At 41.6% G+C, this 23,263-nt stretch overlaps 2 long non-coding RNA genes across 2 annotated transcripts, besides 2 other annotated features; one reads left to right on the top strand and one right to left on the bottom strand.

Annotated features, from left to right (window-relative positions):
- Positions 1-2,609: 2,609 nt before the first annotated feature.
- Positions 2,610-23,247, bottom strand: LOC107987112 (uncharacterized). Its single transcript, XR_007061721.1, has 10 exons — positions 22,605-23,247; positions 20,094-22,508; positions 19,154-19,243; positions 15,837-15,913; positions 14,204-14,500; positions 11,409-11,482; positions 9,438-9,789; positions 6,176-6,386; positions 5,235-5,677; positions 2,610-2,959 (listed from the first exon to the last, which is right to left on the bottom strand). It is a non-coding gene; the product is annotated as an uncharacterized LOC107987112 (long non-coding RNA).
- LOC124902243 (uncharacterized) lies at positions 3,963-6,772 on the top strand. Its single transcript, XR_007061723.1, has 2 exons — positions 3,963-4,179; positions 6,153-6,772. It is a non-coding gene; the product is annotated as an uncharacterized LOC124902243 (long non-coding RNA).
- Positions 5,112-6,311: an enhancer, noted in NCBI's record as "CDK7 strongly-dependent group 2 enhancer chr9:110779148-110780347 (GRCh37/hg19 assembly coordinates)". NCBI's record gives its function as "activates an origin of replication core promoter dependent on BRD2, BRD4, P300/CBP, MED14 and CDK7 cofactors, with strong dependence on CDK7, by STARR-seq in HCT116 cells {active_cell/tissue: HCT116}" and the evidence as "EXISTENCE:reporter gene assay evidence [ECO:0000049][PMID:35650434]".
- Positions 21,566-22,765: an enhancer, noted in NCBI's record as "MED14-independent group 3 enhancer chr9:110762694-110763893 (GRCh37/hg19 assembly coordinates)". NCBI's record gives its function as "activates an origin of replication core promoter dependent on BRD2, BRD4, P300/CBP and CDK7 cofactors, and independent of MED14, by STARR-seq in HCT116 cells {active_cell/tissue: HCT116}" and the evidence as "EXISTENCE:reporter gene assay evidence [ECO:0000049][PMID:35650434]".
- Positions 23,248-23,263: the final 16 nt, after the last annotated feature.

Below are 23,263 nucleotides of genomic sequence, written 5' to 3'. Positions count from 1 at the left end.
AGTGGCATGATCTTGGATAAATTGCTTAACCTCTCTGAACCTCAGTTTCTTCTATCATAAAATGAAAATATTATGCATGCCCATGTCACAGGGCTGTTGTCAGGATGAATGAAATGATCTGTGTGAAAACATGTCATGCAGTACCCAGGACATGGTAAGTTAGCTTTCTTTGCCAGTGTTTTTCCTGTCCAGTGGTGTTCTACAAGACACTTATTCCTTTCCCTCCTCCCTCTTCCTTCCACTACCCTCATCCCGAACTCCTGGGCTCTGGAGGAAAGACTGACGTAGGGAAAGCGAACTGAGTCTGTTGTCGTGTCTGCAACCAGAAACAATGTATTAGGAGAGGCTCTGTAGTTTGTTTATAGACAAAAGGGAGTCTTGGAAAAGGGATCATGAATGGCCTTCATTCTCTGACTGATGGAATTAGTTTGTCATCTGGAAACCACCTTCATTTTCCTCATATTCAGAATGTTCCCTTTAGTGAGCATAGAGCACTTTTCAAATATAGCCCTCCTTGGCTCAATGCCTCACTATATACTCCCTGGAGGGCAAGTAAAATGCCTCTTCCCTCAGACCCCTTTGCTGAATTCTCCCTTTCCTTTGGCTTCTCACTTTGAAGTCAGATGCTTGCTTAGAATTTAGACTTTAAAACAGTTTTTTTTTGCTACTCAAACAAGTACATGGACATGCATAGCAGCATGATTCATAACAGCCCAAAGCTGAAAACAACCCAAACATCCATTAACTGATGAATGGACAAACCAAATGTGGTAAATAAGTCTACAATGGATTATTAGTCAGCCATGAAAAGGAAATAAGTGCCAATAAATGCTATGACACAATAAATGTTAAGTGAAAATAAGTGAATGAAGCCAGACACAAGAGGTTGGATTGTATTGTATAGCCCCACTTAAATATTAATAAAATATCCAGACTGAGTAAATCAACAGAGACAGAACACAGATTGACAGGTACCAGGTACAAGAGGATTGAGGAACCACTTCTTAGTGGGTATGGGATTTCATTTCTGGCGGATGAAAATATTTTGCATAGATAGAAGTAGTGGTTGCACATTATAAAAGTACTAAATACCACCAAATTGTTCACTTTAAAATAGTTACTTTTATGTTACATTAATTTCATCTCAATAAGAAAATGATTAGCATTTCTTGTGTTTTCTCTATCTATGTCTATGGTCTTATAATCTTTGTCTCCAAGACATGACCCTTTCCATCAAGTCCCTCAAAACATTATCACAGTTTCATTGTCTCCCCACTGTAGGAAGATCTATTATCAAAAGAAGTTTCTGATCTCTGGTCTCATGATAGAGTTAGTTACCATTTGTCTTCCACCACCATTATTTCCAGAGATTCCTTCTGCTTAACTGGTATTTACATTTACACTTGAAAGGAAATGTGCTTGAAACCTGTTGTGATGTCCCAGAATGGAAAGTCTCCAAAAGGTAGACCTGTGATAGCTTCACCCTCTTTCTTCAATTGTTATTCATTCATTCATTTATTCATTTAATCAATCAGCAATAGTCTAAGGTCTGCACTATGTATAGCTCCCTGCAGGGCACTGCTGGATTAATGGAAATGAATCAGAACAGCTCCTGGCCTTGGGGCGCTCACAGAATAAGGAAACAGATGACCCCTGTGAGAACAGCTATGCAGGGAAAGCTACACATGGTAAGAAACATACAGAAGTGGGTGAGCACAAAGGAAAAGAATGTGCCTGAAGGGAAAGCTTCAAAGAGATACAAAGTTCAGACCCTCCACCATTCCACTCCTCATTTTAAAGTGCACCCATCCCTTTAGCTAACCCTATTTATATGTTAGTCTTCTCTTCCTCTGCCACTTCCCCAGTGTATCTGGTGTCTTTCATCATCTCTGAAGCAACAAAAGACTCTCCCTTAAAAATCCACCCCAAAGTTCCCCATTGATCCCTTTTTATTTTTTAGTTTATAGAATTAAAATATCTTGTACATCTCTTGCTACTTCTTTTTTGGTTGTTAACTGATGTGGTTTGTATGTGTGTCCCCTCCAAATCTCATGTTGAAATGTGATCCCCAATGTTGGGGGTGGGGCCTGTTTGAGGATGTTGGATTATGGGGGTGAATCTCTCATGAATGGCTGGGTGCCCTCTTTGCTCAAAAGAGTCATAATAAATTTGCATGAGATCCAGTTGTTTAAAAGAGTGTGGCAGTTCCCCATCTCTCTTGCTCCTCTTTTACCATGTGATATACGGCCTCCCTCTTTGCTTTATACCATGATTACAAGCTTCCAGAGGGCCCCACCAGAAGCAGATGCTGGCTCCATGCTTCTTGTACAGCCTGCAGAACTGTGAGCTAAATAAGCTTCTTTTCCTTATAAATTACCCAACCTCAGGTATTCCTTTATAGCAATGCAAATGGACTAACACACTAAAATTAGCATTAGAATTAGAATTAGCATATCTGAACTTAGAATGGAGCATGGAATATGTAGGATCAATAGGTTTGTGTTTTAAGCAGAAATAGGAGACAGGGATGGTCACCATCAAAGTGGGAAGTCAAAAGATCACAGCTGAAATCTTAAATTCACCTACAATTCCATAGTCTTGGGCAGGAGATTTAACTTCTCTGAGCTTTAATTTATTCCTTTGTAAAATGTTAACAATCATGTCATTAAACTTGCTGGAGATAGCACAGAAGAGAAATTTCTACACAAATGTTTGCCACCACTGAAGTTGTTACACAAATACCTAAAAGGAATCTACTCTGAGCGTTTTTAGATGCCACTAACTTACTGCAGTAGTCCTTGGTGTTGTGATCTCATTGAATCCCATAAAAGAAAATATGTCCAGCCCATGTCACCTGACTTCTGTCCTTGGTTATGCAGACCAGTGGGATTGTAGTCTCTTCTTATGTGGTCCTCACCCAAGCTCTTGATATGACCTCAATGGAAGGAGGATGTCTTCCCTGTAGGACAGGAAGATAGCAGACATGAGATCCTTGACTCTCTCCCTTTTTCTTTGGTTTCAGTCTATTTATGTACTTACTATGTTTGGGTGCCTTCATCATCAGCCCTTGTTAGCCTAGAGGTTAAAGATTTACTCATGAGGGACAGATGAAGCTCATAAGGAATTAGCTACATGTCCCCACTTGGCTGGTCAGCTGGAGTCAAGATGATATGAAGACAATGACTCACCAGTAATAGGAAGCCCATTTTTCAGACTAAGCTTTTAACAATGGAGCCTGCCAAGTGTGAACAATGATCAGCCATGGGATGCTTCTTCTTGGAAGCCACTTGTCTTAAATAGAAGGAGCCTTGAGCTAAATCAAAGACCTGGTTTCTAGTTCCTGCTCTACCAATATCTCCCTGGGTAACCTTCAGTAAGTTACTACCACTCTGAGCCTTCAAGTCCTTTAAACTGTGGTATTGTAGGATGTTACATTAACTTTTTCCTATAGCCCTTGATAATGGTCCTAAAGCACTTTGTGCCCCTCCACAGCTCTCTGCTATGAATGGGTTAGATTGTCAAAGCTAGAGTATGAGTTCCCCAGGTGTGCCAGGCAGAGCTGACATGATGTGTGGCTCTTATTCATAGTGTTAGGGGCACAAAGATAAACTAAGGAAGTTTGAATACATATGGACTTTAGTTTACTATTTACGTTGGTATACAGAATAGATCTGTATATTAAAGTTTTCCAAAGACAGTGCAGATGGTAAATTATTACCCCTCCCAACCCGCTTTTCTATTTCACTCTCAGCAGAGCAAGACCCAGGACATTTGAAAATTTATGTTAAGAATTTAGTTGATTAGTATTCTAAGGAAGCAGTATAAAAAGAGCATGGTGAGAAGGTCAGAGTGTGGAGTCAGATCTAACAATTTGTCTCCATTCTCTACTTATTGGCTGTGTGACCTTGGGAAGATAGCTTAACCTCTCTGACTCTTAATTTTCCATTGAGAGAGTTGTGACAATCAATGTGGATGTTATTTAAAGCATTGCTTATTAAATCAAAGCATAACTGTAGCTTAAAAATGAATTATAGCTTCTCATAGAGACTCTCTTCCAGAGTACAGTATAGAACGGAAAAAAAAAAAAAAAAAGAGTAACTATACAGTGGAGAAACCTGACAAGCACTGCCTTGGCCAAATGACCAACGTTACTATCAACAGCGATAAATATTATTGATGGTGAGTACCCTGGATATGATGTGATGAGAATGGCACTTTACATCTGTGAGATCTTCCTTTAAAAAAAAAACATAATCCCTGTCTAATCATGAGGAAAACATTGAATTCCAATGGAGGGACATTCTACAAAATACCTGACCAGTATTCCGCAAAACTGTCAGCCAACTATCTCAGCCAACGATAGCCTAAAGAGAGACATGAAGAGGGAATACGGACAAAACATAAGACATCCCAAATGGTGGTAGAGTTAGAAATCGATCATTGGCATGAAAGAGGCAAACGTGAAATTAGCGATGAATTCCAACAGTGTGTATGTGGGGAGGGTGAAGGTGTTACTTGGATTAGGTGACTGTATTAGTTTTCTAGATCTACTGCAAAAAATTACCACAAACTTGGTGGCTTAAAAATAACAGAAATATAGTCTTATAGCTCCAGAGGTCAGAAGTCCAAAATCAAATCAGCAGGGCTGCTCTGATAGCTCTAGGGGAGAATCCTCCTTGCCTCTTCCAGCCTCTGCTGGCTGTCAGCATCCCTTGACGTGGGCTGCCCACTCCATCTTTGCCACCATTTCCACATTACCTTCTTCTCCCTAAATGTCTCTGAGTTCTCTCTTCTTCTTCTAAGGACACCTGTCATAGAATTCAGGACCCAACTAAATCCAGAACGATCTCACCTGGAGACCCTGAACTTATTTACACCTGCAGAGACACTTTTTCCAAACAAAGTCACCTTTATAGGTTCCAGGGGTTAGAATTTGGACATGTCTTGTTGGAGAGGTCACTTATTTAACCAACTACAGTGGCCACAAAAAGACTTTCTGAGATGGGAACATTTATGTGGAAGAGTCTGCCTTGCAGAGAACAGGGAGGAATGTTCCACGAAAAGAGAACAACGTGGCCAAAGACTTTAAGAAAGAGCTCTGTGTGGCTGAGGAACTGAAAGGGCACAGCGAAGCCGGAGAAAGTGGAGGGGAAGAGAAGACCTTGGTAGGCCTGGTGGGAAGGTTCTGATCACAGATGGCCCAGCTGGGCTAGTAGGGCCTCAGAGTGACTCACCTTTGCCTGAAATCTCATTCTCAGCCCAGAGTTCTCCTTTTCACCTACTCACTGCTCTGGAAGCTTTACGCTCAGTGCATCACAATAGCTCCTGGGCCTTGGTAAGGGGACATTACACACTGCAGGAAAAAGCCTTTTGTTCTCGTCCATTTCAGTGTCATCCAGCTGACGTGGCGGCAGCTTTGTAGTGCCACAGTGAGGCTGGATCTCAATGCCAACTTCTAGTTTCGATGCAACATGTCCCATCAGGCCCCATTGTGAGCTGCTAGCTTATGTCCTTGAAGAAGCCCTGCCCGGTTTTCTTTCAAGTCACTGAGGCAGCCGTAATGTTGAGGCTTGAGCTCTGGCCTGAAGTCCAGGAAGCTGAGGTTGAATCCCATCTTGGATTCTTACTAGTCACGCAGACTTGGGAAAGTCAGCCTCTCACAGCTTCTGTTTTCTCACTTATAAAATGAAGATGGAAAAAAAGTCAATCTCATAGCAAGGGTGTGAGACTCAAATAAGACGGTGCATTTGAAAATGTTGTGCGAATTATAAAGTGTTTTCTATGCAGAAAGAGAGATGTTACCAACAGTATTGACACCCTGAGGGTCTCTAATCCTCTTTCCAGAGAAAGGGAATTCTCAGGATTCACTTCATCTCATCATAAACTCATAGACTCTGCACTGAAGGCTGTGTGCTATTGTCTGTCACTCCCCGAGGGGCTAATAAGCATCATCGCCCATGGAGGTACCACCATGCAGCAAGCTCCAAAAATGGAAATAAACAAAACTCAAATCTGCCTCTCTATAAAAAGCAACCTACCGTTGAAACTTGACCCTCTTGAAAACGTACTAAAATGAACATGGAAGGGAAAAGGAAGAACAAAATACCTAAGTAATTAATCGGCATTTTGTCCAACCCCATTTTGTTTTAAAGGGCATTCATCAAGATCAACATACCTGCCAAGGCAAACCCTGTGAGCCCTGTGACTGGCCATGTGGACTCGACATCCTCCTTGTCCGCCGTCCACTCACTTGCAAACTGGTGTCAATGAAGGTAACATTTTGTGGTAATGGCAACCATATGGGCTGGTGACTGCTGTCAGTAAAAATAGCCCACATGGCCTGTGTGGCCAGACACAACGTCAAGCTAAGAGAAGGAGACAGAAAGCTGTGTGAAGGAAAGAAAAAAAAATAGTTTTAAAAGACTGGAGACGGAAGCCTGCCTGACTGTGAAGGAGGTTTCAGGGAGCTGAAACATGCAGCCAAGCTGGGCTCATCAACAGCAGAGACATTTGCATGAAACACCAGCCCTCCCCAGCCTGGCCTTCCACACTCTCATGCCCCAGATGAGAGGGGATAGAAACAGGATTCTATCTGGGAACAGAGCCGAAGCTCAGCACATGTACACATCTCTGGGATGTGTACAGAATCTTCTCCTACCTAACCAACCCAGTAGAGAGCAAGGAGTTAGGGCCAGAAATTTTAAACAACAACAACAACAACAAAAAAACCTAAGCATATATTTTCAGTTCCTTTAAAAATGTATTATGTTTTGTAGCATAATAGAAACAACGTGAATTTGCAAATTGCCAGACCTGATTTGACTCTCACAATATGCTACTGAATAAACACAAGCAAATTACTTAATCTCTAAAACCTTCGGTTTATTCGTTTGTAAAATGGAGATAATGTAACCAATAGTTATTATGAGGAGTACATGAGCTGATGTTCCTTACACTTAATAGAATGTCCTACTCATTTATTCACTCATTCAACAAATACTTAATAATTGCCTTCTAGGGCCAAGCACAGTTACAGAGGAATAAGTGAGTGCATAAAACGAAATGGCAGTTTTCATGGGGTTTATATTCTAGTTGTAAGTGGAACACGTAGAATGTCAGAAGATGAAAAGTGCTGTGGATAAAAATAAAGCAAGGAAGGGGGATGGGGAGGGCGGGAATTGGGAGTGCAATTTTAAGTGGGGTGGTCCGGGAAGTTGACATTTAGGCAAAGATTGAAGGAGGTGAGAGAGCAGGACATGGAGGTAGGTGGGAGCAGAGGAAGCCACCAGAAGGAAAGTCCTGATAAGAACAGGGCAGAGTACTCAGGCGCGCCAAAGGGACCAGTGAGGCTGGAGAGGAGGAAGCTAGAGGTCAGAGAGGCCACACAGGCCTGGGGGGCTAGGGTAAGAACTTGGACTTGACTCAGTTCAAGTCAAAAGTCTTAGGAAGGTTTTGAACAGAGGAGTGACAGGATCAAACTAATTTTTTAAAAAATAGAATGGCATTGGCCACCATGTTCAGAAGTTTCTACATGAGCAAGTGCAAAACAGAAACTAACTGGGCGTGGTGTCTCATGTCTGTAATCCCAGCACTTTGGGAGACCGACGTGGGCAGATCACCTGAGGTTGAGAGTTCAAGACCAGCCTGACCAACATGGAGAAACCCCGTCTCTACTAAAAATACAAAATTGGCCAGGCATGATGGCACATGCCTGTAGTCCCAGCTACTCGGGAGGCTGAGGCAGGAGAATCACTTGAACCCGGGAGGCGGAGGTTGCAGTGGGCCGAGATCGTGCCATTGCACTCTAGCTTGGGCAACAAGAGCAAAACTCTGTCTCAAAAAAAAAAAAAAAAAAAAAAAAGCAGAGACTAGTCAGGAAGCTGCTGTAAGAATCCAGGTGAGAATAAATGGTGTCTTGGATTGGGGTGGTGATATCTGGAGATGGTAGGTAGTGGTGGGATTCTGGAACATGTTATGATCATAGGGAAGGCCTCCAGAATTTGCTGATAGCTTGAATGGGGGTTAGAAAGGGGAGGGGGTCAAGAAAGGCTCCAAGGTTTTTGAGCTTAAGCAACTGAAGAAAGTTGCTATTCACAGAAAGGAGGATAATTTTAAGTGAAGCAGGTTGGAAAGAGGAGATTGGAAACACATGTTGCACATGATAAGTTTGAGATGCTCATTGGACATTCAAATGGAGACACAGAGTTTCCAGAGAGATGAGAATCATTCATGATTCATGATGTTCACATACAAATAGTATCTGAGATCATGAAACACCATGGGATCACCATGGGAGCGAGTGAAGATAGAGAAGAAAAGTAGAGATGTTTTTCCATGGGGAATCAATAAAGATTTACAGAATTTAAGTAGCCTTTTACACGACATTTTCCAAATTCATCAGCTACATCAAGAATAAATATACTGAATATATAAGCAGTCCATATAATGTGGACATGAAATTCTATAAAATAGATGGTGCTGTTATTACTTTACATACAAGGAAATTAAGAACCAGACAAGTGAACAAATTTGCTCACTGTCAAATAGCTAATGAAAAACAAAACAGGAATTTCAACCCAGGCATCCTCACCCCAGTTCTGATGTTCTTTCCGCTACAGCCATCTGCCCACTGCTGCACTTCCTCATTATCTAAGGTAGAAATGCATCTTTTGACCTCAACCTATTTGTGATGCATCTCCAAGTTTGAAATAAAAACCAGGTCATTTTAGCAGTTAAGTACTCTTGTTTTCTAAGCTGAAAATGTTGCCAGCGTTAGAAAATAAAAAATATATATTTTTAAAATTGTCTTTGGCAAAGTTTAATTGAGAGAGAGAGAGAGAGAGAGGGAAAGAAAGAGATAATGAAAAAAATTGTGCCTTCAATTTTCCCATAGGTACCGCCTGTCTCCTGGACTCTAAATCATCTTCTCTGTTTTTGGAAGAGGTAGATATAAGGCAGATACAATCTTCCTTGTCTTCGAAATCCAGCACAAGGGATAGAAAAAATAAAATGATCTATGTGGGGTCACCAAGTGATTTGTGTATGTGACTTGGAAAAGGTCCTAGCTGTCTTGCATCACTCTCTTTCCCTATGGCCTATGTAAGACTGTTTATACAATGTATATAGAAACTGGTAAAAACAAAATAATATCTGATAATTTGCAAAGCACTTTTTATCCAGCACTGATGCAAATACACTTTTTGAAATAGCTACTATGCATGCTAGCATCCATTTTAAAGATGAGTAAACCACGGCTTGGAGAGATATTAAATAATTTGGCAAAGGTTAACATAAGACAAAAAGCTGCAATTTTATAAAAGGCTATTATAATCACTAAAAAATAAATATAAATACACTTGGTACCTACAGGACCTACAAAATCAAACCCAGTTCTATTTTGGCACTACCATTTTCTGCAGTATGGTTTAAAGTCTTACCTGTATCTGTCTTCTCTCTTTCCTGTTTGGGTAACATTGCTCCTTCTTGAGAAACACCAAATATGGTCCCTGTCAAAGGAATGGTCTGAATCTTGTCCATCCTAGTAACTCCAATGCCTTTCCAGTTTCTTGGTGCAGTGCAGGGCCTGATAAATGTTGGCTGGGCTGTGCTGAGCTAGAGTTGGTGAGCTGAAGAGGAGGAGGAGTTAAGTTTGTAACAGCAGGTTGGGTGAAGACCACGAAGAACTCTGGATGCTGAGCTAAGCTATTTATATTTCCACCTATAGTTAATAGGTTTCCAGGGTTACTGCCTTGTCTGGTCCCCAGGTTCTGCATCTGCATGTGGGTTGTCCTACAGAAAGAAAAAGCTTGCTTAGCAAATAAAATGAGGACAAGCATGTCTTCATTGCAGGCCTTAGAAAAACCCATGCCAAGACTAATTATTTTTCAGATTTGAAAACTTGATTTTATTTTTTTCTTCCCACGCACACCTCAAGTCTTGTTATGGCTTCGGCCAAAGAAAACCAACTTTGACAGGGCCATTTCAGGCTTGTCCTGAGCCCAAAGTAGGGAGACAGGAAGTAGGAGGTGACATTTGATTTTTTTTTTTTGAGGTTTCCTGCTCAAATTTAAGACCAAGAAATTTTGTGTGGGTTGTTTCAGTCAGATGAACTAGAGAGAAGTGTTCCATTTCATATTTATTAGCTATGCTAGAACCAAAAGGAAGAGAGAAAATCATTAGTTCCTATTCTTATGCAGCTGTTTGTCTAATGGGAAGAGAAGAAAGAAATTCACAGACAAGTACAAAATAAGGCAGAATGTGATGCTAAGGGATGGCAATGTGCTATGTGGACTTACAGCTCATACTCAGTTGGGAAGAGAGAGCAGAGAAGTCTTCTTTTGACAGTGACATTTCAAATTGATCTTTAAGGCCATGTAAGATTTTTACGGGCATACATGGGTTGGGAGGCGAACATTCTAGCTGGAAGGAACAGAGTGGGTTAAGTGAAGGAGGCAGGAGTACTCAGGTTAAGGAAGCAGATTTAGGGAGTAGTGGTTATTTATATTTGGCATGAGCTATTTAGGGAGTCTAGTGACATTTTATGAGCCCTATATTGAGGGAAATGAAACCTGGTTAATTCTGAATACACGGGTGTGGTGGTCAGGGCCAACACCTGTATCTGAAAACACGTCAAGAGAAAGAGATAGGAATCAGTACAGATGTGATCTCCAATAAATTTATAGAATGGAGTAGATAATACAAGGATAGCATGAGGATTAATTTGCATATCACCCCTGTACAATAGATACAAGGGCTATCAGAAATGACTGATGCAGGGCTGTGGAACCTTGGATAATAGAGAGATGATTATGCCATAGAAAACTCAAAGAAAACTTGGAAGAGGTGATAGCTGGATGGGTAGAATTTGCATTTATAAGAACAGGGCTCTGAGACTATTCCAGATTGGGGAAAAAAACCATAATAAACTTGGGCAAGAAAACATCAGGAATATTTAGAAAAACTAGCATAAGTTTGACTAGCAGGGGTTCTTAAACTGGGGTGCAGGGATCCCTGAAAAGGTCAGTGGATAGAATTCAGAGATGGCAAATTAAAAAGAAAACAAAATCCTCACTGAATTCACACTGAAATCTAGCATTTTCTTCAAGTATGCATGCAGACAACAAACCATAGTAGTATTAATAGCACCTTGACCTTGTATCAGTAGAAATCACAGATATTTTTATAACACATCACTTTTGTTGAAGATATCTTAGAATAGCACTTACACTCATTATAACTTCAAAATTCCAATGGCATCAGACCTGATGCTAGAGCTTGTTTTTTGATGTGTTACTAAAGAAGCATGTTAATAACCGTATCACACTTTCAGTTATTTTGATAACCGTCTCTTAACATCATTGTTTTCCTTTGCAATACTATGTATTTTTTTAATGATTTCAAGTCCTTACTTTCAGAAGAGATCCATACTTTTTCCAGGCTGCCAGGGATGTCCTGGGCACAGAGTTTAAGGACCCAAGGGATTCTGAAAAAGACGACAAATAAGGTTCTAATGGCAGGTGGAAATAAGATCACAAAGAGACCTGAATGCCAAGCTAAGCTGTTTGATATAAATCTATAATTACCAGATAGCCAGCACCAACGGCTTGTCTAGACATCAAATTATTTTAGCCCTGGTCTCATCCTCCAAGTGTGATGCCAGGGATTGTCCTTTTATATACCCCCTAGTCTACTTAAGCCTGTTACTAGACACAGAGTTCAATTCAACATAGGTATCTGAAGAACTAAGACTGCCCTCCCAAGCTACATTGGTGAATCTGCCTCTTTACATTAGGGATATAATTAATAAATTCTTCTTAAATTTTTCTTCAAGTTTTTTTTTTTTTTTGGTATTTCATGGGCCAAGGAAGTTTTTTTTTAAAAGAGGAAAGCAATCCTGAGTAACTTTTTATTACTTTATTCCAAGTAGTATAATTTTAAAAATAATAAAATCTGGTTCCATCAATTGTCATCATCACTTCATAAAAGAATGAGAATTTTAACAGCCTACCCCTCAAAAACAAAAGGCATAACCTCAGGAAGAAAAAAAATATCTTGGCAATCTAACACTCTTTTTAAAAGATAGGCTTTTTACATTTTAAAATTAAAAATAGAATGTAAAATGTTATTTTATGAATTATGCTGTAGATAATATTTTTCTTGACAGAGGTTGTCAGGTAGGAGAGTACCTATGCAATATAGTAAAATAGAGTGAACCTGAGTCTCCAAATAGTGTGGTCACTTCATTTTTAATACTGTCATCAAAAATCAAATTTCAAAGACATTTATAGATAAAAATGAAAAGCACACACTGTCACTACTTCCTTGAATTCATAATATTCTGGGCACTTCAGAGAAGTGGATGAGTAACTCCACCATATCTCTAGCAGTGTTCATCCCTTTCTTGGCCCAAAGCTGAAAAGAAAGTTCACTAAGGTAGCCCAAGTCTGGCTGGAGAGGGTGGCAGGAAAGGACATGCCAGTGTTTTTTTCTATGTGGCTATTCACAGCAAGGAGCAATTTTTCTCCCTAGTATCCCAACATAGAACAGTCAGGAAGTTATCTGAGCGGGATGTCATGGATTTGACTCCAACATAGGCCAGCACCTCTCCAAGACTGTATATTTGAGAACCACTAATCTGGTCCAGCCCTCTCATTTTGCAAATGAAGAAACTCAGAGGCCCAGAGACCAACCTATCCTGAAGGAAAGTGGATTAAGGGAACCCCAGCCAGAACTGTGGAAATCAGTCTCATCTTTTTTGCTGCCAAGATAGCTTTGACTTTTTGCCCTAATTCAGATACTGTGGGCAACTTCCTGATACCCGAGAATTTATGCCCACTATTGGGTGTCATTCTGGTTAAGTGGATGACTGTCTCTCGAATCTGATTAATGCCCCAAGTACACTGAAGCTGTGTCTTTTCTTGAGCTTGAAATTTTTCACACACACACACATTCATAGAGAGAAAAATCAGCCTTTCCTGAACCCACCTGAAGACTGAAGGCCTGACCCTAAATCCAAGTCCACAGGTCCTGCGACCCTGCTGCCTATTTATAGATGTCTCCAGATTTGTCTGGATATTAACAGTAAGCACCCTTTTTAAATACAAGCTTCAGCCCAAGCTCTGTGTTCATCATTCTACATTCATGATCTCATTCATTATTACTCACAAGGTCCTATGAGATGCAAATTATAGCATCCATTTTATAAATAAGGAAAATGATGCCTAGCAAGCCTCCATGACTTTCCCAGAGGCACACAAGAGTTTATGCATAAGTCCTTCTGCAAGGTCCTGGGGCTTCCTAGGCTGATATTCCATGTTGTCCAAGACCTGGCACAGGCCTGGCATGTGGTAGGTGCACTGAGAGAACTGCCTGGATAAAGAGATTTATAAGCATCTTCCTCTGTCATCTGAAGATGCTGTCCCTCCAGCACCACTCCATCTCCAACATGACTCACAAAATGTCCCATTAAACCATCTCGAAGGTAATTCATAAAATGTCCCATTAAATGTATGCAATGACTATGAATATAATTGCCACACAGACTCAGGGTATGCCAGTTTGTGACACTTTTTTTTTTTTTTTTTTTTGAGACAGAGTCTCACTCTGTCACCCAGGCTGGAGTGCAGTGGCACGATCTCGGCTCACTGCAACCTCTGCCGCCGGGTTCAAGTGATTCTCTGCCTCGGCCTCCAGAGTAGCTGGGATTGCAGGTGCCTGCCAATGCGCCTGGCTAATTTTTGTAGTTTTAGTAGAGACAGGGTTTTCACCATCTTGGCCAGGCTCGGTGGCTCATGCCTGTAATCCCAGCACTTTGGGAGGTCAAGGTGGGTGGATCATGAGGTCAGGAGTTCAAGACACTTTTAATTTAAATACTTGGTGCAAGTTTGGCTTGAGGCCTAGTGAAGTCTCTAATCTCTCTTATGGCCAGAGGCCAAGCCAGGCTCCCCCTATTCTCAAGCAATTGATTATTTGGAAGAAAGTGCTGGTCCAATGTGAACCCTTCCTGCACTTCATCTTGCAGTGTTTGGTTCATGGTTCCAGACAACTGAGATCATTTAAAAGTTTGATTGTGACATCAATCATATTTTCTATCCCTCCCAGCTATGTGTCAACCACAGATGTGATAAGCAGACTTTATATGTCTTTGTCTAAATAATTGGTACCAAATATTAAACAGGGCTAAGGACATTTTTGGGGGACATACCTCTGCCATGATTCCAGGGCATTTGCTTAGGCCTTCATTTCAGCATTTGTCCCTTGACATTATCAACTTTTTAAATTTTATCTTGAATCCAAGCTCTTCAAGAGCTGACCATTGATATTATGCTTCTTTTAGTCCTCATTGGGCACCATGCTGGGTATTGGAGAAAAACTCAGTCAATGTTGGCTGAATGGTGTGACAGACAGAGCCACTGATTTGGTGTCAGAAGATACAGGTTCAGGTCACAGATAACCCCCTTCCTGCACACAAGTTGTTTATCCTCCCAGGGCCTCAGTTTCTCTGTTCAAAAAATGGGGATAAGGATGTTTGCAGACAACTTCATTAGGGTGTTGCAGAGCACAAATAAAGTAACGGATACAAATGTGCTTGTTCACTCACCCCTATTCATTCTTTCATGTACACATTTCTTCAATCTGAAATACCTATTCTCTTCTCTTTCCCATGAATACCGCCCTCACCATGTTCTCCTTCCTCTGCCTCTCTGAGAATCCTTCCCTGACCCCCTGAGTAAGCCACCACCATCTCCTCTGAGCTTCCATAGCACTTTGCAGATCTTGAATTGTCCCATACGTTTTCAATTGTCTGATTACTTGTTCATTTTCCCCTCCATGAGATGGTCCTGGAAATCCAGAGCCATATCTTAGGTATCTCTATCTCTGGCACCAGCACAGGGAGACAGAAGACACTCAATAACAGGTTTATGGAACTAATATGAGTGATTGCCAGCTGCAAAGCTGGTTCTGCTCTTCTGCTCTTGCCTTAATGATGGCTGCATGGAGTGGTGTAGCTACAAAGGTCTTTGCTCAGGACACTGCCAAGTGTCACCATGAGCAGAGCCCTGTTGGGCCTGGATAGTTTTTGCTTGTCCTAGGGGACAAACAAAGGTAGTTATGATGGACAAAGCTGGCCCAAAAGCTCTATGATAACAGGTATCATATCTCTTATTACCATCATGTCAGGCTGGGTTCCTCAGCAATCAGGCTCCGGCATGGAAATTTGCACACAAGAAGTTTACTGGGGAGGGTCTTTGGGATCAACTCCAATGGGAAGGTGGGAGGAACAGGATTGGGCAGATAGAGAATTCCAGCTGCAACGCACTGTCCACAAATAACTCAGCTGGTCCTGTGGAGAGGTCTAGAGCTGGGGAAGGCCCTTCAGAGTTGCTCCAAATTAAGACAAGAGAGTCAAGCTTCTACCAACACCTTCCCAACAACCTGTCTTCGAGGAAGGCTGCCCATGTAGAGAGGTAAAACCTTGAGCTAGGTGTTCTCTTCCACTGAAGACATTTCCAGAGAGGAACCCAGCTGAGAACCACCAACATTTGCAGCTGCTGGAGATATGAGCACTGAAGTACTGAAATGGGGAGTGCCTATTCCATTGCTTGTGCCTAACGGTACCTGGCTCATTGCAGTCCTTCAACTAGTACTTCTTGTGTGAATGAAGGACTCTGTGGTCAACCTGAGATAGAATCCTGTAGGTTTTCTATGGGACTTCTAACATTGATTCAGTCTAGGAACCTTTCAAGTGTGCAACCTCCCTGCCAGGGCTCAGGGAAAAGGAAAACAAGTCCCCTTCCCTTGAGAAGAGAGGCAGCCACACAAAGAGGCAATCTTACCCAAGGTGAGGATTTTACATGGGCATGCTCAGAGCATGGAAAAGACAGGTTCTTGAAGGTGTCTTTGAAGCTGAGGCCTGAAAGACAAGAAATAGGTAGATCCTAGGAAAAAATGCAATGTAAGCCAGCAAGACTGGCATGAGAGACCATCACATGGACACTAAGGTGATATAGGTCAGGTCAGGTTCTCGGGGCCTTAAGTGCCAGAAGACAGAGCCTAGACCAGATCCTGATATTGGCAAGGAGACCATGATAAGGTTTTCAGCAGAAAAGTGACAGGCCAGGCTTTCCTTCTAGGAAGAACACAGGGTTTATTTCCTTATTGTGTCCCTTTTCCATCTGGGGTTCTGTGGGGAAGGACCAGCCACCCAAGCACATGCCATACCCATGGCCTCCACCCAGAGCACAGCATGAACTCTCCCCACTGCCAGGTCCTCTGAGAAGCTGAAGGAACTGCTGTCTCTCAGGAGGAAGGGTACACTCTTTCCTTGACACCTAGGGCAGTGAGTCCCTGAGGGTGTGACCCCAGTGAAAGGGAACCCAGAGAACAATGCTGTAAACACAGAGAAATCAAGGCAACTCTTTACATATTACATAGTGGGAACAGCACTGCCCGAGGAGTCCACTTGGGCTGGCTTGCAGTCCACTCTCAGCCACCTGCTGAATTTGTGGTATGGGCAAATCACTAACCCACATCTATAAAATGAGTATGATAATTACACCACTCCAGTGATGAGGACATACAAATTAACCCAATAATGAGACACAGTTTTATGCTGATCAGATTGACAAATATTTTTTTGAAAAATAATGTTCAGTACTGATGAAGATGGGTAATACAGGTTGGCTCATTCACTGTGAGTAGGCATGGTCATTTGGAATAAATAATTTCAGGAAACATCAAGTTTTAAAATGTGCATATCTTTTGACCTGGAAATTTTGCTTCCAGGAATTTATTGTAAGGAAGTAATTAGAAACACATGGGGGAAACACATGTTAAAGTATATTCAGGAAGGCATTATTTATGAGTGCAAAAACTGGAAATAACTTAATGTCCATCAATATCTATCAGTAGATAATAGTATTACTAAAGTATAGCACACCTTTACATAGGAATATTATGCAGCAATGAAAATTGGGCTTGCAAATTGGATTTATTAACACAGAAAATGCTTATAATCTAATGCTAAAACAGAAACAGGAATATAAAGCACTTGTATTTCAATCCCAATTTTGTAACTATAGAAAATGCTAAAACATATAACCTGTTACTATGTAATTGGTTTTGAAATATAATTTTGCATTTTTTCACTTGCTAGCTGCTATAAGCAACTGGTTTATCAACATATTAACAGTAATTATCAATCAGGGTATCAGGGCAATTCTAATTTTCTACTCCTTTTTTAAAAGTATTTCAAGCATTCTACAATGATTGTTTCTATAATATCTATAATCAGTAAAACAAAAGCACAGTTTTGAATAATGATAATGTGTGCCTCTCAGGACTGTTGTAACAACCAACAAGATCACGCACATGAAGGAGCCCTGTAAAGAGTAAACCCCTATAAGTACATGAGGATCCATTTCTTCCTGAAACTCTGCATCTCTCTTTACTAAAGCATCTCAAAGTAAGGGGAGTAATTCATCCCGAGGCCCTGGTACCCTGGAAAGGTCTCTGACAGGCAATTGGTGACTTCCTTGCAGGGTAACATCACAGCGATCTCCCAAGGATGCCTCTTAGGTCTCTGCCTCATCCTTCCTGTTTCTTCAGCCCTGCTGTCCTGTCCTGGTCAGGCACTGATCACTTCCCGCCTGAATGACCATATCAGCTTTATTCCTGGTCTTTCTGTCTCCTGGATCCCAGTCTCTTTCACCCATCATGCTGCAGCCAAGGACACTGTTCTGCTGTGTACCTCTGACTATATCACTCCAATGTGGTTGCCACAGGCGACAGTTTGAGCTTGGTGTAGAGTACAAAGCCATGCATCATCTAAACTCCATCTAATTCTCCGAGGACATCTCCTGCTTCTCCTTCACATCTGGAAATACAACCTTGGCCCCAGCCAAATTATGTCACGTTAATTCCCTAAACACTCCATTCTTTTTTTTAGGCCTCCATCTTCCTGTGTTCACCCAGCAAACTCTTCGTCAGCCTTTCTAGGCATTCTCTATGGAGCTGACTTCTCTCCACCTCCCATCTCATACCCAGTGATGTATTATTTTGTGACACAGACAATATTTCTAATGCAAGATCATTATTTTAAAAAATTAATTAAGTTCTATGTTTTATTTGGAATTTATGAGTTTTTCATCAATGTTCTCTTTTGGTTCCAAGATCCAATCTAGGTTCCACATAGCATTTAGGAGCACTTTACTTTTATTAACTTATTTCCTCCTCACAGTAACCTATGAGGCAGACACCATCATTTTCTCCTTTTCACAGATGAGGAGACTGAGACACAGAGAAGCTAAGCAATTGGTTAAAGTCACACAGTAAGTGGGAAAACTAGAATCTGAACCCAGTAGCCTGGCTCCAGAGCCTTTGTTCTTAATCCTTAGGCTGTTTCACACACACAAAAGTACCTGACTTTCTAATACACCACTCTAATTTTAACTTTTATTTTTCTTTTCCTTTATCTTATTCCAATAAAAATTCAATGACATTTCTACAAGGACTTCTCCCCAAACCTTAAGGAGTGCATAGTACATACAAGTGTTAAAATGAGAAGTTGGACCAATTGCCTGAGAACAGTTTGAAAACATATCACATCTTATGTTATTATTGTATTTGGTTTTTACTAAATTGAGTTCATTATTTGTCTTTACTCTCTTATTACAATATCTAAGAATTACAATTATGGGGCTTTAAAAAATTAATACATCATAGGTATACATATTTTGGGGATACATGTGATATATCAATACATGTATCCAATGTTTAACAGTCAAATCAAGGTAACTGGGATATCCGTCACCTTAAACATCTATCTTTTCTTCGTGTTGGGACCATTACAATTCTTCTCTCTTAGTTATTTTGAAATATATAATAAATTATTGTTAACTTTAATTTTCCTATTGTAGTATCAAATACTAGAACTTATTCCTTCTAACTAATGTATTTTGTACCCTTAACCAACTTTAAGTACGGTCTTCACACCTCTGTATTCTCCATCGAACAAGCTCCTTGAGAAGATGTCTTACTCACCTTTGAAACCTTGCCACTTCTTATGTGCCCAACAGTCCAGGGATTTCTTAACATTTTCTTCAATGAATTGTGCCAGAATTCCCCCCCATGGCATATAGCAAATCATACCTACATTTGCTCTGGCTGCTGTATAATGTTGACTTCACAAAGTCCCCAAGCATCCAAGCAATCTCTCACAGTTGTCATCTGGAGGACCAGGGAGCTTTTGGGGGAAAAGCAGAGCCCCTCAATTACCAATTCTGACAACTTTCATTTGAGCCTGGGGCTCCCTATGCAAACAGACAGTCAGCATGTGATCGGAGAAGAAATAAAAGTATGTTTCTATTAAAACCATGTTCCTTAAGTTGTCACTCTGAATTTATATTCCTCTGGCCCTTGCCAAGTTGGCTCTAGGCTCCACTCTGTCCTGAAATTAGAGCATTCTTCTCATAGTCCCCGGGAGATGCCTACAATGCTTGAAGATTGAAAACAGAACCTGAAACGTGGATTTGGGAATTTGTGGAGTCCAAAGAATCACTGATCTATATAACCTGCCCCAGATAACCAAGCTTCCCTTTCCACCTCTGATTAGAGCTTCGTTAGAATGGAAAAGTTCGCTGCTTAAATGATAGTCCCACTACGCAAGAGGATAGGTAGAAAATCTACCCACTGCCTATCCTGTGGGGAATCAGACAGCTTGGGGTAAAACAAAGTGCTACCCACAGCCAGTGGGTTTGGTCTTTGGGCAGAACCAACTACAGGGTACGTGTGCATTTACATGTTGAATTTAGTAAAAATGAGCAATTATTGGGCACCTACTATTTGCAAGCCCTCTTGATGGGTCTGGTGAAGGATGAAGGGTTGAGCAAGAAGGTCATTGCCTTTAAACAGCTCATTTCTATTGGAGAAAAAGGATTTGGATCTAAATGGCCCTGCCTGATAGTAGAATGGGATAAGTATTTGGAGCCTTAGAAAGTGCTATGTGTGTGTCTATGGACAGTGTGGGGTGGTAGGAGGAGCACAGGTTTGGCAGCTAAACAGATTCAGGTTCAAATGCAAGTTTAGCCAGTTACCTTAGACGACGTACTGCACGTTTTAGAGCCTCAGTTTCCTCAAATGTGGGAAAGGGGTTCCAACAGCCCACTTCACATAGGAGTTAGATGGAGATGAGATGAGATCCAGCGTGTGTGCTCCTGGCCTGCAGTAGCTCTAGCTCCTCTCCCTTTCGCTGTCGATCAGCTGACACCCAATGACATCGCCAATAACCCTGGGCAAACACTCACAGAGCCCAAGAGGAAGTGTCAAGAAGGGAGGCCAGAGTCTGCCGAGGGGAAAGCCTTTGCCTCATTCTTTCAGCTTTTAGAGGCTTCTGTTCCTGTCCAGTCACCTCGAGACTGTGTGTTCTTGGACTTAGCAAATTCTCTGTCAGTTCATTTCGATTAAAATCTCTGTTAGCCCGAGAAGTTGAACCGGGTTCACTCAGAGTGGGAACTGAGAAGGATTGCTGTTGTGAGGGCTTTGCTATTGAGGCCCCCCTGCTCCTTGCCAGACCACAGAGTGTGCAAGAAGAAGAAAACGAACAAGCCGGTTAAAAGGTGGCTTTTTTCGCAGAAGGGCTGCTGCCCTGGCCTGTGGTCTTAAGCGATGCAGTCAAGCTTAGGGAATCTCGGCTCAGACTTCAGAGAGAAGCACACGCAGCAGCTGGTCCATGTCTCTGCGTCTTCTTTCATTTCATATGTAAAGGAAAGCAAATTTCCAAATCTCTCTGTAAAGAGGGAAAATGGGCCTCTTTTCCTTTTACGGCACTTCTTACCCCAGATTTGACTAAGCATAAATAGTGTACTATTATCTTCTTACAGTCAGGCATGAGGAGTTTAAACAGCATAACAGACTGACTCTCAGAAGACTAGAAAGTCAATGTTGGCTTAATATCTAAGGGCTGGGAGGCTTTGAAATAGCTCTTTAAATGTCTCATGACTCAGTGTCTTCATCTTTCAACTGGGCACAATAATATCTACCCCCCACCCAGGGTTAGTTGTAGACTATATAAGTTAGGGTTTACAAGGAAACTGTCACATAGCAGACCCTCAATAAATGTTAGCTCCTCTCACAACTCGTACCCCATGAGACATTGAGCAAATCATTTAATGAGTGTTAGAATTTCTCTGTTGCAAAATTAAGCCCATTTGCCTTGCTCTTTCTACCTCTCAAGGCTGATTTGAGAGGTTAAATTGATAGTGGAATGAATGTACTTTGTAAATGGAAAGCACTAAGGCAAAATCAAATTTATTGGGAGAGCTCTTTTAACCATGTGGGAATGACTCAGGAGAGGAGAGGAGAGAGTGCGTCCTTATTAAAGACTCACCCCTTCAATCACCCCTTAGATCTGAGGCACTTTAGAAAGTCCCACCTTTGCTTGGACTTCTAGACTAATCAATTATTATCAAAGAGCTGGAGAAAAGGTTCAGTTGCTGTTGAAGTCAAAACCATGTTCGCTACAGGGCCAGTCTCCAACCCTTTAAATGCCATAAAGCCTCAAAGAAATAAAAACTGGCAAAGCCTGACGCCAGCTACATGATTAACTGGACAAAGCCTATGCACTCTAAGCCATGAGATCAAAGAGAATATTCTTTCCAACACATAAACCCTCTTAGAGAACTGGAACATGATTCATCCTAACAAGCCACTTAGGGGTCAGGTAAGCAGACCATCCCCTGCCTGAGGAAGTCCTGGACAGGAAAGTGATGGAGTCACACTTAAGGACCTTCATATTCAGAGGCAAGATGTTCATGACCTGAGACGAGAGTCCAAACAGCTAACTTCCTGAGAAAATCCTCCATGTATTTACAAAGTCGTGAGATCCTTGAGGGTAAGGGTGCCTCTGACTCAGCGGACATCCCAGTTTCTAGTTCAAAGCCTCACATTGACTGGGTCCTTAGGAACCTAGTTTTTTATGCTTGTGTCACAAAAGTCTTCACTATGAACTCATAGCTTAGCCCTAACTCACCTACCGAGGCTCCTCTTCCCCTTTATCTTTCTTATGGAAGAAAAACGAATGTAGACAGATGTGCTTGCAAGCCACCTCCTGAAATAATCAAAGAGGCTCAAAGCCATTGGAATAGGAAGATGACTAGGATACGCGTCATCATTATTTCTCTCTTATTAATACGGAGGTGTTATGAATCAAATGTTTGTGTTCTCTCAAAATTCATTTGTGGAAGCTCTAATCCCCAGTTGATGGTATTTGGAGACACAGCCTTTGAAGGTGATTAGGATGAGACGAGGTCATGACGGTGGGGTCCTGGTCCAATGGAATTAAAGCTCTTTTAATAAGAGACACCAGAGAGTTTCCTCACTCTCTCCCAGGTGTAAGCGCCAAGGAAAGGCTATGTGAGCACACAGGGAGCAGGTGGCTGTCTGCAAGCCAGGAGAGCCCTCACCCAGAAACCAATAATGTTGACACCTTGATGGACTTTCAAGCTCCAGAACTGTGAGAAAATAAATTTTGACAGCATTTTTTACAGCAGCCCAAACTGACTAAGACAGGAGGTAAAGAGAATTCTTCCCTAGCATTTGACACCAACCTCTTCCTAGTTGTTCGAGCCAGAAACCTAGGAGTCATCTTCGATTCCTCTGAAGTCTTCTGTCTTCCTCACCTAAGCAATTGCAATGTCTTTAAAAAAATCTCTCTCCAACCTGATTTACTCTGTGTCCGGACTTCTCCAGATCCTCGCCATCCCCAGAACATTTGCACTAGATCAGAAGAGTTTCAAAAGTTCCCATCTCTGAGCTGTGTGGAGTACTTAGCACACATAACTGATGCAGACATGTGGAAAGGAAGAAGGAAATAATGAATACATTAATTCCTATCTTGTGCCAGGACTGCATGAGGTGTATAATCTCAATGAGTGTTGTAAATCTTCTCTGCTTGTTTCAGGTAAGGAGATGGAGATGCAGAGAAGGAAAATGACTTGCCTAGGATTGCATGCTGGTAAGAGGAGGAACTTATCGGAAGATCTGGGTGTTGGTTGCAAATTCCATACTTGCTGCATTACAATGTGCACAGTAATGACCATCTTGGGGCCGGGCCCAGGACAATAGCATGTAGTTGGTGCTCAACAAAGAGTTATTATAGGAAGGACTCAAAACACCACCTGCTGACCAGGCACAGTGGCTCACCTGTAATTCAGATACTTTGGGAGGCTGAGGTGGGAGGATTACTTGAGCTCAGATGTTCAATACC

This window comes from Homo sapiens, chromosome 9, assembly GCF_000001405.40.
Source record: "Homo sapiens chromosome 9, GRCh38.p14 Primary Assembly".
NCBI lineage: Eukaryota > Metazoa > Chordata > Mammalia > Primates > Hominidae > Homo > Homo sapiens.
This window is presented reverse-complemented; position numbering and strand designations above follow the sequence as displayed.